The 14372-nt window shown below is 49.0% G+C and overlaps 1 protein-coding gene across 2 annotated transcripts in view, besides 7 other annotated features; it reads left to right on the top strand.

The window, feature by feature from the left end:
• Positions 309 to 628: a silencer, noted in NCBI's record as "silent region_5074". NCBI's record gives its function as "represses an Ori minimal core promoter by ATAC-STARR-seq in GM12878 lymphoblastoid cells {active_cell/tissue: GM12878}" and the evidence as "EXISTENCE:reporter gene assay evidence [ECO:0000049][PMID:35858748]".
• BRI3BP (BRI3 binding protein) overlaps positions 479 to 14372 on the top strand; it is a 57523-nt gene continuing 43629 nt past the window's right edge. For both annotated transcript variants that reach the window (XM_011537940.3, NM_080626.6), the window contains exon 1: positions 479 to 837. In XM_011537940.3, the coding sequence (XP_011536242.1) occupies positions 625 to 837 (213 nt within the window). In that variant the 5' untranslated portion in view covers positions 479 to 624. The remainder of the gene's footprint in view (positions 838 to 14372) is intronic.
• Positions 649 to 698: a silencer, noted in NCBI's record as "silent region_5075". NCBI's record gives its function as "represses an Ori minimal core promoter by ATAC-STARR-seq in GM12878 lymphoblastoid cells {active_cell/tissue: GM12878}" and the evidence as "EXISTENCE:reporter gene assay evidence [ECO:0000049][PMID:35858748]".
• Positions 799 to 848: a silencer, noted in NCBI's record as "silent region_5076". NCBI's record gives its function as "represses an Ori minimal core promoter by ATAC-STARR-seq in GM12878 lymphoblastoid cells {active_cell/tissue: GM12878}" and the evidence as "EXISTENCE:reporter gene assay evidence [ECO:0000049][PMID:35858748]".
• Positions 859 to 1108: a silencer, noted in NCBI's record as "silent region_5077". NCBI's record gives its function as "represses an Ori minimal core promoter by ATAC-STARR-seq in GM12878 lymphoblastoid cells {active_cell/tissue: GM12878}" and the evidence as "EXISTENCE:reporter gene assay evidence [ECO:0000049][PMID:35858748]".
• Positions 1119 to 1178: a silencer, noted in NCBI's record as "silent region_5078". NCBI's record gives its function as "represses an Ori minimal core promoter by ATAC-STARR-seq in GM12878 lymphoblastoid cells {active_cell/tissue: GM12878}" and the evidence as "EXISTENCE:reporter gene assay evidence [ECO:0000049][PMID:35858748]".
• Positions 1269 to 1358: an enhancer, noted in NCBI's record as "active region_7319". NCBI's record gives its function as "activates an Ori minimal core promoter by ATAC-STARR-seq in GM12878 lymphoblastoid cells {active_cell/tissue: GM12878}" and the evidence as "EXISTENCE:reporter gene assay evidence [ECO:0000049][PMID:35858748]".
• Positions 2539 to 2678: an enhancer, noted in NCBI's record as "active region_7320". NCBI's record gives its function as "activates an Ori minimal core promoter by ATAC-STARR-seq in GM12878 lymphoblastoid cells {active_cell/tissue: GM12878}" and the evidence as "EXISTENCE:reporter gene assay evidence [ECO:0000049][PMID:35858748]".

A 14372-nucleotide genomic window follows, 5' to 3' on the forward strand; every position in this document is an offset into this window, starting at 1 on the left:
ATAATTTTCGGATTCTCTCATTCATCCTCATGTATTAGCTGGACTTTGTAAAAGAAAGTCCCTCCCCAACTATTTTGGGGCTCTGAAATACAGTTCATTCAGGAAGGGCAGGAGGATGCCTGATGCTTTCTTGTTATTTAAAATTTTCAGGATGAATGAGCTGATGCCCACGAGGGCGAATTTTGGGGTACCATTATAATACATTCAGGGAGATTACATATATGTCTATTTCATGTTTTTCAATCAGTTGCAGTCACTTTCCTGGTTGAAGCTGTTGCAAGTTTTACAGGCACGGGTTGCTTTTCCACGGATAAGTTAAAAAAGAGAATTTTTTTTTAAATGATGAGAAGCCGCACCGGGTCGGGGCAGGCTTCCGGGAGGCGGGCGCGGGGCCCCGGGGCCGGGTCGCGTTGGTCCCGCGCCGGGGGCGGGGCGCGGCGTGGGCTGGGCCGTGCGCCTTTGCGCGCGGGGCGGGGCAGGTGGCGCAGCAGCGGCGGCGGCGGCTGTGGGTAAAGGCGCGGCGCGCGGCCCCCGAGCGCGCCAACCTTGCCCTAGCCGGAGCCCGCTGCGGCCCAGCGCACGGCCCTCACCCCGCATCGCGACCCCGCGCCCCGCCGGCCGAGCATGGGCGCGCGCGCCTCAGGCGGGCCCCTGGCCCGGGCCGGGCTCCTGCTGCTGCTGCTGCTGCTGCTGCTGCTCGGGCTGCTGGCCCCGGGCGCGCAGGGGGCGCGGGGCCGCGGCGGCGCGGAGAAGAACAGCTACCGCCGCACGGTCAACACCTTCTCCCAGAGCGTCAGCAGCCTGTTCGGCGAGGACAACGTGCGCGCCGCTCAGAAGGTGGGCGCCGGGCCCGCGCCCGCGGTCACCTTGCCCCGGTCGCCACGCACCTGGCTACCGGGGCCGACCTGGGAGGAGCGCGGCCTCCGGGGCTGCCCGCCCGGCCAGCGCGCGGGAAGAGGGGGTCCGGCCTGCGCCTCGGGGCCTGCCGCCTGCGGCCCCCGCCGGGCCTGACCAGTGCGGGTCTGGGCGGCCGGGCCTCGGGGCGCCCTCTCCTCTGCGCCGCGCTTCTCCTTGGACCTTGCCTCCGCGGTCGGCGCAGCCAGAGTCTCTCCCGGCTGCGCTGACGCCTGCCGCGCGTCTCATTCATTCATTCACCGCGTTTGAATGGCTCCTACTGTGAGCCAGGCAGCACACTGGCGCTCTCGGTCCCCACGCGGCTGCGCCCTCCCCAGCTACCCCGGGTTTGTCCTAGCCTCGCATCCCGACCCACTTCCCCTGGGACCTTCTGCCCCACTCCTCCTCCTGCTTTGAAGATACTTGGAGTTGTTTTTACTTTACAGGAAAAGAAGGGAGCAATGCGATTTGCTCGGTGGCTTTGGGAAACCGAGCACCTACTGTGTGCGGGGCCTTTCGCGTGGAGCCTTTTGTTTAGTTTGGGGAGGTCCCGGATCCTGCAGCCTCCTGGGAAGGGTGTTGAGTCCCAGGAGGATCGCAGGGGGTTTTCCCCAATTCCTGCTCTCTGGAGCTAGGTGCGATAGGGGTGCCATTCCGGGCCGAAGTCCGCCGACTAGCTCTTGAGAAGGAGGAAGTTACTGGGGACAGTTGTGTGTGGTATTGCGGTTCCTTTGCTGTTCCCTGGGGAGGAGGGGGCTCTTGCTTGCCGCCAGCCTTCCTGGGGTTTTGGAGTCAGAGAAGTTTGGGTTCAAGTTGGAGCTCTACCAGTTGGATGACTTTGGGGAAGTGACTTCACTTCTTTGAGCTTGTTTCTTTATTTGTTAAATGGGGATAGTAATCATTCCCCTTCATTGCGAGGTTGTAATTATGACTAGTTGGTACCTTCCTGGCCCAGAATCATGGCTAAAAAGTTAAAGTTTTCTGCTCATTGAGAGGGAGTGGGGAATAGAAGGGAATATGAAGGCCGAAATCAGATTGACTGCATGTTCTTACTGGATAACATGAAAGGTTAATTTGTTAGGAAAACAGTAAGTTTTGACCTCCCTCTCCTGTGGGCAGGGGCACCTCTTGCACAGGTGGGTCTGTGTCTTCATACATGTAGGGGAGAGAACGCTTTGTAGGTGGCCAAAGAGGGGCAAGGAAGCAGGGCTGAACGCCTGAATGTGAAAAGGTTGCCCTGGAGTCTGGCGCGGGAAAGGATCAGGGGTGTGAGTGCAGGGAGTCTCACTTACTTCCTCTTGATGCCGTTTCGGAGCTATTTGAAGGCAGAAATCATTTGTTTTAGAGCAAAAATAAGCCTGTCTTTTTCACGCAGGGTGACCACAGGATCCCCATGTCTCAACTGACGGTGGTTCCATGTGACAATCTAAGGCCAACAAACATGAAATACGAGTGGTTATTTAAGACTTTTACTTAAATAAGACAATCTGTATTCTGGCAGAGCATCTCCGAATCTGGGGGTCAGAGCTCTTCCTGGGCTAAACCGGGGTTTGTGCCTTTAATAGAGATACTAATGATTACTAAGTGCTTTTGTAGATAGAATAATCTTATGTAATCCTTAGAATGACCCTGTGCAGTAGGTACTGTTACTGTTCCCATTTGACAGATGAGGAAACTGAGACACAGAGCAGTGAAGTGGCTGGTTTCAGGTCAGATGAGTGGCAGAGCCAGGATGTGAACCTAGGCAGAGTGGACATGGAGCCCACATTAGTATCTCTCGCCTGTTTTCCTGCTTCATGACCCCTTCCCTGTTCCCCGAGTCAGTACAGCATCCAGAGGCTGACCTGACTTCTTTCCTTTTTGTTTTTTTGAGACGGAGGTCTGGCTCTGTTGCTCAGGCTGGAGTGCAGTGGAGTGATCTCGTCTCACTACAACCTCCACCTCCCAGGTTCAAGCGATCTTCCCCACTCACCCTCCCAAGTAGTTGGGATTACAGGTGTCCACCAGCATGCCTGGCTAAGTTTTGTATTTTTAGTAGAAAAGAGGTTTCACCATGTTGACCAGTCTGGTCTCAAACTCCTGACCTCAAGTGATCCTCCCGCCTCGGCCTTCCAAAGTGCTGGGATTACAGGTGTGAGCCATTGCACCTGGCCTGACTTATTTTATTTCCTGCTGAGTGTAGCCCACACTGGCCAGGCTTGGGGATATTGTTTTGTTAATTTTATGGGTTTTTTTTTAAATTTAATTAATTAATTTATTTTTTGAGACAGACTCTTACTCTGTCACCCAGGCTGGAGTGCGTTGGCACGATCTTGGCTCACGGCAACGTCTGCCTCCTGGGCAAGCAATTCTCCTGCCTCAGCCTCCTGAGTAGCCGGGATTACAAGTGAGTAGCCGGGATTACAAGTGAGCACCACCACATCCGGCTAATTTTTTATGTTTTTGGTAGAGATGAGGTTTCATCATGTTGGCCAGGCTGGTCTCAAACTCCTGACCTCAAGTGATCTGCCGACCTCAGCCTTCCAAAAGTGCTGGGATTACAGGCGTAAGCCACCGTGCCCAGCCTGTTTTGTGAATTTTAAATAAAGGAAAACTGGGTCTGCCAGCAACTGTAGTTTTCAGCATGCCTGGGTTTACGAATTAGAGCCAAACCTGCTTTGTGAAGTTTAATGGTATTTAAAAAAACACCCCATAGTCTTTTTTTTTTTTTTTTTCCGAGATGGAGTATTGCTTTGTCGCCCAGGCTGGAATGCAGTGGTTCAGTCTTGGCTCATGGCAACCTCTGCCGCCCAGGTTCAAACAATTCTCCTGCCTCAGCCCCCTGAGTAGCTGGGATTACAGGCGTGTGTGCCACCATGCCTGGCTAATTTTTGTATTTTTAGTAGAGATGGGGTTTCACCATGTTGGCCAGGCTGGTTTCGAACTCCTGACCTCGTAATCCGCCCTCCTCAGCCTCCCAAAGTGCTATGATTAGAGGCTTGAGCCACCGTGCCCGGCCTCCCATATTCTAATCTAGGACTTGTCTGAAATACACCTATGACCATCCTGTTTGGAGCATGGGAACAGACATGAGTTTGAATCCTAGCTGTTTCTCACTCGCTCTGTGACCCTGAGCCAGTTGCTTTACTTCTCTTTTTTTTTTGCTTTACTTCTCTTTTTTTTTTTTTTTTTTTGAGATGCAGTCTCGCTTCTTCTCCCAGGCTGGAGTGCAATGGCGAGCTCTCGGCTTACTGCAACCTCCGCCTCCCGGATTCACGAAATTCTCCTGCTTCAGCCTCCCTAGTAGCTGGGGTTACAGGCAGATGCCACCACGACCAGCTAATTTTTGTATTTTTAGTAGAGACAGGGTTTCACTGTGTTGGCCAGGCTGGTCTCGATCTCATGACTTCAGGTGATCTGCCTGCCTCGGCCTCCCAAAGTGCCGGATTTACAGACGTGAACCACCGTGCACCACCCAGTTGCTTTACTTATCTGTGTCCCATTTGTTCAGAGGAGATAAATTGGGGAATTAAAGGAGATTGGTTGGGCTGCACAATGCCAGGGACTGAATAAGCATTTAGTAAATGGTAGAATATTTCTATATGAAGGGAATTTGTCTGGTAGGAGGTAATAGACTTGTTAATTCCTTTAAAAATTATTAAGTGATGCCCTGGCATGGTGGCTCACACCTGTAATCCCAGCACTTAGGGAGGCCAAGGTGGGCAGCTCATCTGAAGTCAGGAGCTCGAGACCAGCCTGGTCAACATGGCGAAACCCTGTCTCTACTAAAAATACAAAAATTAGGCCAGGTGTGGTGGCTCACGCCTGTAATCCTAGCACTTTGGGAGGCCAAGGTGGATGGATCACCTGAGGTCAGGAGTTCAAGACCAGCCTGACCAACATGGTGAAACCCTGTCTCTACCAAATACAAAAAATTAGCCAGGCGTGGTGATGCATGCCTGTAATCCCAGCTACTTGGGAGCCTGAGGCAGGAGAATCGCTTGAACCCGGGAGGCGGCCGTTGCAGTGAGCCAAGATTGCACCGTTGCGCGCGCCAGCCTGGGCAACGAGTGAAACTCCGTCTCAAAAAAAAAAAAAAAAAATTAGCTGGGCGTGGTGGTGCACGACTGTAATCCCAGCTACTTGGGAGGCTGAGGCAGGAGAATAGATTGAGCCCGGGAGGCTGACGTTGCGGTGAGGTTGAGTCGCCCCACTGCACTCAAGCCGGGGGAACAGAGACTCCGTCTCAAAAAAAATTATTAAGCAACTTATACACATGTGTTCATAGCAACACTTTTTACAATAGCTAAAAAGTGGAAATGTCCCAAATGTCTTATCAGCTGATGAAGGGATAAAATGTGATGTGTCTGTATAATGAAATATGATTCAGCCATAAAAAGGAATGAAGTATTGCTATATGCTACAACTTGGACGAACCTTGAATAAATGAGAGAAGCCAGTCACGAAAGGGCACACATTATATGATTCCATTTACAGCATATGAAATATCTGGAATAGGAAGATCCGTAGAGACAGAAAGCAGATGGGTGGTTGCCAGGGGCTGGGGGAGGGAGCAATGGGGGAATTACTGCTTAATTGATCTAGGGTTTCCTTTTGGGGTGATGACAGATTGTGGAACTAGATAATAATGGTTGCATGATATTGTGAACGTGCTCATGCCACTGAATTGTACACTTTAAAATGGTTAAAATGGCCAACTTTATGTGTATATGACTACAGTTTTTTAAAAAAATTGGCCTGGTGCAGTGGCTCACATCTGTAATCCCACCACTTTGGGAGGCCTAGGTGGGAGGATTGCTTGAGCCCAGGAGTTTGAGACCAGCCTGGGCAACATAGTGAGACCCCATCTCTACGAAAAACCAAAACCTTTGGCTAGGCATGGTGGCGCACACCTGTGGTCCCAGCTACTTGGGAGGTTGCATAGGGAGGATCGCTTGATCCTGGGAGGTTGAGACTACAGTGAGCTGTGATCACACCACTGTACTCCAGCCTCAGGGACAGCACAAAACTCTTTGTCTCCAAAAAAAACAAACAAATGAAAAATTTCAAGCACCTACTGTATGTGGAGAAAATGATTCCTCTCAGGCAGAATATAGCTGGACTGATGTGGTGGAAACATCCTGAATGCCAGGTCGAGAAACTAGTACTTTTTTCCCTTGCTCCTTGGTCGTAGTTGCATGGAATACAATTTCATGTAGTTCTGAAGGTTAAGAAACTAACTCCACTTCCCACTACCGACCCGTCTACCACCCCCTTCCCCGAAGCAGCCAGATATTCTGAACATGTATAAATATATGGATCTATAGATCTGCTCCCTATTGTTGGTTTTTGTTTATTTTGCACTATGCGCACTGTTTTGTATTTTTATTTTATTTTTCCCTGAAACAGAGTCTCCCTCTGTCGCCCAGGCTGGAGTGCAGTAGCTCAATCTTGGCTCACTGCAGTCTCTACCTCCCGGGCTCAAATGATCCTCCTGCATCAGCCTCTCAAGTAGCTGGGATTACAGGTCTGCACCGCCATGCCCTGCTAAGTTTTTTATTTTTTATTTTTATTTATTTATTTATTTATTTTTCTTGAGACGGAGTCTCCCTCTGTCGCCCAGGCTGGAGTGCAGTGGCGCAATTTCGGCTCACTGCAAGCTCCACCTCCTGGGTTCATGCCATTCTTCTGCTTCAGCCTCCCAAGTGGCTGGGACTACAGGCGCCTGCCACCATGCCCAGCTAATTTTTTTGTGTGTTTTTAGTAGAGACGGGGTTTCACTGTGTTCGCCAGGATGGTCTCGATTTCCTGACCTCGTGATCCGCCCGCCTCGGCCTCCCAAAGTGCTGGGATTACAGGTGTGAGACACCCGACCCAGCCTCATTAAACTTTTTGGCTTTATTATGTATGAGACAGATGGTCTTTTCATTTATTCAGAATCCATCGATATGTTCTGGGAACTGCCTTTTGGTTTTTCTTTTTTTTTTTTTTTTTTGCCGTTCTATTGAGCTGTTGGGTTCTTTTGTTTTTGCTTTTTTTTTTTTTTTGTAAAGAGGTTTGCATTTTTTGCTGTTTGCAAGAAAGTATTTTGAGCAAAATAACTTTGACACTTTCCAGTCCTTTTTCCCCTACCAACATTTTAACAGCTTTTTTGAGGTGTAATTGCACTACACCTCAATAGACTGTGCGTATTTAAAGTGTACAGGTTGACACCTTTTGACATACACACTTGTGAAAAATTACCACAGTTAAGATAAAGTTTCATATGATTTTTTTTTTTTTTTTTTTTTTTGAGAGGGAGTCTCGCTCTGCCACCCAGGCTGGAGTGCAGTGGCGCAATCTCGGCTCACTGCAAGCTCTGCCTCCCGGGTTCACACCTTTCCCCTGCCTCAGCCTCCCGAGTAGCTGGGACTACAGACGCCCACCACCACGCCCGGCTAATTTTTTGTATTTTTAGTAGAGACGGGGTTTCACCATGTTAGCCAGGATGGTCTCGATCTCCTGACCTCATGATTGCCTGCCTCGGCCTCCCAAAGTGCTGGGATTACAGGCGTGAGCCACCACGCCCAGCCTGTTTCCTATAATTTTTTATGTTGATAATTTTTCAAAGTACTAAAATGCTGAAAGAACAGAACAAGGAATAGCTGCAAACATCTCCCCTAAAGTCACCAGTTCTTACATTTCCCCTCAAACTTTTTTCTCTGCAAACACATCCGATAGACACATACACACATGCACACACATTTATTTTTATTTTTTGGCAGGATCATTTGAAAGTTAGTTGCAGACGTCTTAATACTTTTTCCTACAGAACCACAATACCATTGTCTCAGCCAAGAAACTTAAATATAGTACAGTATTTTGTAACAGATAGTCCATATTCAAATTGTCTTTATAGCTCATAAAAAATCCAACACCCAGTCAAGGACTGCTCATGCATTTAGTGTTCATGTCTCTAGTCTGTCAGAGTTTCCTCACTTTTGGTGGAGGAAGGGACTTAATTATGAATTTTTTTTTATTTTTATTTTTTTTTGAGACGGAGTCTTGCTCTGTCACCCAGGCTGGAGTGCAGTGGCGCGATCTCGGCCCACTGCAAGCTCCACCTCCTGTGTTCACGCCATTCTCCTGCCTCAGCCTCCCAAATAGCTGGGACCAAGGGTGCCCGCCATCACGCCCGGCTAATTTTTTTTGTATTTTTAGTAGAGATGGGGTTTCACCGTGTTAGCCAGGATAGTCTGGATCTCCTGACCTCGTGATCTGCCCGGCTCGGCCTCCCAAAGTGCTGGGATTACAGGCATGAGCCACCGCACCCGGCCCCAATTATGCATTTTTTTCTTTTAGACAAGCTCTCACTCTGTAGCCCAGAATGGAGTGCAGTGGCGCAGTCTCGGCTCGGTGCAACCTCTGCCTCCTGGGTTCAAGCGATCCTCCCACCTTAACCTCCTGAGTAGCTGGGCTTACAAGCATGTGCCACCATGCCTATTTATTTATTTATTGTATTTTTCGTAGAGACAGGATTTCTCCTCGAAATCCCTGTGTTGCCCAGGCTGGTCTCTTGACTCCTGGGCTCATGCGATCCTCCCGCCTTGGCCTCCCAAAGTGCTGGGATTATAGGCGTGAGCCACTTCGCCTGGCCCAGTAAGGGACTTTTACAGCATTGACATTTCTGAAGATCACAGACTAAATGTCTTTTTTTTTTTTGAGCTATAATTCATATACCATACAGTTTATTCATTGAAAGCTCAGCGGTTTGTAGTATATTCACAGTGCTGTACAGCTGTCACTACAGTCAGTTTTAGAACATTTGCATTACCCCAAAAAGAAACTCTGTACCCATTAGCAGTCACTACTTTTTTCCTTTGCCCCAACTCCCAGCCTTAAGCAACTGCCAATCTGCTTTCTGTCTCTATTTCTGAGCCTACTGTGGGCTTTTCATAGGAGTGGAGTCCTGTACAGTCTGGCCTTTTGTGTCTGGCTTCTTTCACTTAGCCTCATGTTTTCAAGGTTCATCCATACTGCAGGATCAATACTTTATTCCTCTTTATGGCTTTTTATTTACCTGATCATCAACTGATGCACATTTCGGTTTATGTCACTTTTTGTCTATTGTGAATGGATGCTGCTGTGAATATCCATGTGCAAATATTTGTGTGGGCATTGTTTCCAGTATTTTGCGGTGCATACCTAGGAGTCCAGTTGCTGGGTCATACAGGAACTTTTTGTTTAACACTTTGGGGAACCGTCACCCTTTTCCAAGGCAGATGTACCGTTTTACCTGCCTACCAGCATGTGGGGCCTGGTTTCCCCACATCCTTGTCAGCACTTGCTATGGTCTACCTTTTTAATTCTAGCCATCTTGGCAGACGTGAAGTAGTATTGCTGTGGTTTTGACAGTCCAGAACTGGTTTTTTTTTTTGTTTTGTTTTTTTTTTTTTTGAGACAGAGTCTCGCTCTGTTGCCAGGCTGGAGTGCAGTGGCACAATCTCTGCTCACTGCAACCTCCGCCTCCGGGGTTCACGCCATTCTCCTGCCTCAGCCTCCCGAGTAGCTGGGACTACAGGCACCCGCCACCACGCCCAGCTAATTTTTTGTATTTTTAGTACAGACAGAGTTTCACTGTGTTAGCCAGGATGGTCTCGATCTCCTGACCTCGTGATCCACTCACCTTGGCCTCCCAAAGTGCTGGGATTACAGGCGTGAGCCACCACACCTGGCCCAGAACTGTCTTTTGAAATGTCCCACAGTGTGTATTGTATTATTCTGATTATCTCCTCCGGGTTAGGCTCAGACTTAGCTTTCATGGCAAGAATTCTGCAGAAGGCATCATGTGTCCTTGCTGAGGCAGTACCATATCGGGGCTCGTGGTGTCTGTTTGTGCCATCGCATTCTCGTTGGTTGACGCTGAATTTGATCTCTGGGTTGAGGCTGGGCAGGCCCACTGCGCTGGGGGTGCCCTTTCCCCTCTGTGGTTCATACGTGGTCTGTATGTTATGTTCCAGCATTTTCCGTTCATCTGGCTTTTGCATTTCTGTGTGTTCTTCAGATGCTTGGGAAACCTCTGAATGGCAGAATCTCCCGTCCCCTCTCCCTGGCTTGCTTATCAAGATGCCTTTGCCCTCATGGCCTGATTTTCCATAGGACCCGTTTGCATGTGCCTGAGGGTGATGGAGGTAAAGCGAGATTAGGATGCAGGAAGGCCATTGTCACCCAACCCCGGTGTTGGATGTCCCCGGGTGTTGGATGTCCCCCGCCTGACTGCTGCAAGAAGAGCGCTGATGAAATCCCAGGCTTGAAGCAATCTTGTTCCCTCCCATGGAGGCGATGGCTGGGCCTTGTTTGTCTGAGTCCTCAGGCATCCACAGTTTGCTCACCTGGTCCCCTTATTTCAACTTTCCATTCTGAAAATTGTCCAACATAACCAAAGGTAGGGAGAGTAGAGTGAACCCTTGTTCACCCAGGTCTTCCCATGTAGCAACTTTCTGCCATTCTGGTTACTTCTTTCCTTCCTAAATTTTTTTGAGGGTGCCTGGAATAATATTTTAAAGCTAATCCAATACATTAGTTCACCTTTGCATATTTCAGTTAGCATCTTTAACAATAAAAATTTTGTGAAAATCAAAACCACAATACCGGCCGGGCATGGTGGCTCATGCCTGTAATCCCAGCACTTTGGGAGGCCGAGGCGGGTGGGTCACTAGAGGTCAGGAGTTTGAGACTAGCCTGGCCAACATAGTGAAACCCCATCTCTACTAAAAATATAAAAATTAGCTGGGCATGGTGGCGCTCACCTATAATCCCAGCTACTCAGGAGGCTGAGGCAGGAGAATTGCTTGAGCCCAGGAGGCGGAGGTTGCAGTGAACCAAGATTGCACCACTGCACTCCAGCTTGGGCGACAGAGCGAGACTCCATCTCAAAAACACACACACACACACACACACACACACACACACACACACACACACAACACACAATACCATCATTACAGCTTATAACAATTCCTTAACATCTAATGCAGGTCCATTTTCTGATTTCCCTGGCCCAAAATGTCTTTACAAAACTTTTTGTTTGAATTTGTATCTAAACAAAGTCTACACATGAAGTGTCTTTTAAGTCTCTTTTTTAAATTTTTAAATTTTTTTAAAATTTTTTTGAGACAAGGTCTTGCTTTGTCACCCAGACTGGAGTGCAGTGGCACGAACACAGCTCACTTGCAGCTTCAACCTCCCAGGTTCGATGATCCCCCAGCCTTCTCCCGAGTAGCTGGAACCACAGGTACATGCCACCATGCCCAGCTAATTTTTTAATTTTTTGTAGAGACAGTGTCTGGCCATGTTGCCCAGGCTAGTCTCTAACTCCCAGACTCAAACGATCCTCTGGCCTTGGCCTCCCAAAGTGTTGGGATTACAGGCGTTAGCCACCATGCCTGGCCCTAAGCCTTTTTTAAAAAAAAATTAACTTTATTCTTTTTATAAGTAGAGTTTAAAAAATAGTCTTTTCTTTTAGAGTTATAGAAAAATTGTGAAGATAATACAGGGAGTCGCCATATACCCCTCACCCTGTTTCCCCCATTATTAACGTTGTATATTCATGTTCTATTAATGAACCAATATTGGTACATCAATTATTCGCTGAAGTCTGTACTTTATTCAGACTTCTGTAGTTTTTCCTGCCACCCTTTTCTGTCCCAGGATCCCATCTGGGATCCCACCCGATATTTGGTCCTCAGGTCTCCCGAGGTCCTCTCGGCTGGGAGTTTCTCAGGCTCTACTTGTTTTTGATGACCTTGACAGTTTTCAGGAGCATTGATCAGGCCTTTTTCTTTTCTTTTCAAATCTCCCTGTGTCACGCAGGCTGGAGTGAAGTGGTGTGATCTCTGCTCACTGCAACCTCTGCCTCCCAGATTCAAGCAATTCTCCTGCCTCAGCCTCCTGAGTAACTGGGACCACAGTTGCATGCCATCACACCCGGCTAAGTTTTGTGTTTTTAGTAGAGTCAAGAGGTTTCACCATGTTGGCCAGGCTGGTCTTGAACTCCTGAACTCAAGTGATCTGCCTGCCATGGCCTCCCAAAATGCTGGGATTACAGGTGTGAGCCACAGCGCCCAGCCGGTCAGGGATTTTGTAGGATGCTCCCAATTGGAATTTGTCTGATGTTTTTCTCATAATGAGACTGGGTGATGGGTTTTGGGGAGGAAGACACAGAGTTAAGGACCATTTTCATCCCATCACATCCAGGGTACAGCAAATCATCATGATTTAAGTCACTTTTAATTTTAATGCCCCCACCTCATGCTTTTTCTTGGATGCCATCTTATTCTGTGGAGAAACTGGGTCTCACCCCATAGCATCTCCACCATCTGCATCTGGCTGGGTGCATCCTCATGGTGGTGTTTCCCTGTGTCCCATTTCCCAGATCCCCAAGAACCAGTGGTTAGATCTAGAGGCCTGGCCAGGGATGGTGGCTCATGCCTGTAATCCCAGCACTTTGGGAGGCCGAGGCGGGCAGATCACTTGAGGTCAGGAATTCAAGACCAGTTTGGCCAACATGGTTGAAACCCCATCTCTACTAAAAATACAAAAAATTAGCCAGACATGGTGCCTTACGCCTGTAATCCCAGCTACTCGGGAGGCTGAGGCATGAGAATTGCTTGAACCCGTGGGGTGGGGAGCGGAGGTTGCAGTGAGCCGAGATCGCGCCACTGCACTTCAGCCTGGGTGACAGAGCAAGACTGTTTAAAAAAAAAAAAAAGATCTAGAGGCCCGATAAGATTCAGGCTTGCATTTTCACCGGATTTCTGCTGGAACTGCCTCCAGGCTTTGGGCTTCGCTGTAAGCTCCTGTGTTTGTGTGCACTGCAGCCCAGTCGCCTAAACAGCAGACATACATTTTCTCCCATTCTGGAGGCTGGAAATCTGAGCTCGAGGTGCCAGGGTTGCTTTCTCCTGAGGCCCCTCGTCTTGGCTTGCAGATGGCCGCCCTCTCCCTGTGTCTTCGAGTGGTCTTTCCTCTGTTTATCTGGGTCCTGCTCTCCTACTTGCATAAGGACACCAGTCGCATCGGATTAGGGCCCACCGTAAATATCTCATTTCAGCTTAATCACCTCTGTAAAGACCCTGTCTCCAAATACAGTCCCATTCTGAGGTCCTAGGGTTTAGGGCTTCCACATAAGCCTTTTGGGGGACAGAGTTCAGCCCATATTATTCCCCTTAGGGCTCCTGTGTCTCCATCCACACAAAGTGGGTCAGGGTGTCACACACCAGAGCAGGCAGGCCCAGCCCCACAGGGAACAGCAAATTCTCCAGCCAAATGGTTCAACGGCAAGAGATGGGATCCTCCCCGAATTCACCCTCTCCTGCCCGGGGCCAGTTTTCAGGAGGGGACAGGTGCCGTTCTTTCCACCGTGAGAAAGAACCTCTGACCTACACCTTTCTTAGCACTGCTAGGAGCTCCTCAGGCACGCCAGCTTCTCAGGCATGGCAGTTTTCAGAGCACCTGCCTGTCAGCTTGTGTTACATGGGAGGTGACTGCTCAGCTTGCAGGGAGTTCCAGGTTGCCACCCTGCAACCCATGAATCTGACAAGAACCACCTCAGCTGCTCCGACACGCTGGGCACCTGCCGTGTGCTGGGCGCCACGCCGAGGTCTTTACAGGTTCTGCTCTTGAATCCTCTCTTAGTCCCATTTCTCCCACAGCAGAGAAAACTGAGGCACAGAGAGGTTCAACAGTGTGAGCAGGAAAGTCTCTTCCTCCCAGAATAATTGCTTCCACGCACCCTTTCCTGGGCACTTGGTGGCATTTTAAAGGCCTGCTACTCTTTTCTCACAAAAACCTTTCTTTTTCCCTCCATTTGAACAAATTATAGAAATTGCTATATATTATCTGGGCGCGGTGGGTCACGCCTGTAATCCCAGCACTTTGGGAGGTCAAGGTGGGTGGATCATCTGAGGTCAGGAGTTTGAGATCAGCTTGGCCAACATGACAAAACCCTGTCTCTACTAAAAATATAAAAATTAGCCAGGTATGGTGGCACATGCCTGTAATCCCAGCTACTTAGGAGGCTGAGGCAGGAGAATTGCTTGAATCCACAAGGCAGAGGTTGCAGTGAGCCGAGGTCGCACCACTGTACTCTAGCCTGGGTGACAGAGTGAGACTCTGTCTCCGCCCCCCCCAAATAAATTGCCATGTATTGACAAACATGTACAAGTCACACATACTTTAAATAATTGTAGGTTGAGCACGGTGGATCACACCTGTAATCCCAGTGCTTTGGGAGGCTGAGGCAGGCAGATCACCTGAGGTTAGAAGTTCGAAACCAGCCTAGCCAACATAGGAAAACCCTGTCTCTACTATTTTACAAAAACTAGCCAGGCTTGGTGGCATGTGTCTGTAATTCCAGTTACTCAGGAGGCTAAGGCAAGAGAATTGCTTGGACCTGGGATGGGGAGGTTGCAGTGAGCTGAGATGGCGCTAATGCACTGTAGCCCAGGTGACAAAGCAAG

This window comes from Homo sapiens, chromosome 12 (assembly GCF_000001405.40).
Source record: "Homo sapiens chromosome 12, GRCh38.p14 Primary Assembly".
Classification (NCBI taxonomy): domain Eukaryota; kingdom Metazoa; phylum Chordata; class Mammalia; order Primates; family Hominidae; genus Homo; species Homo sapiens.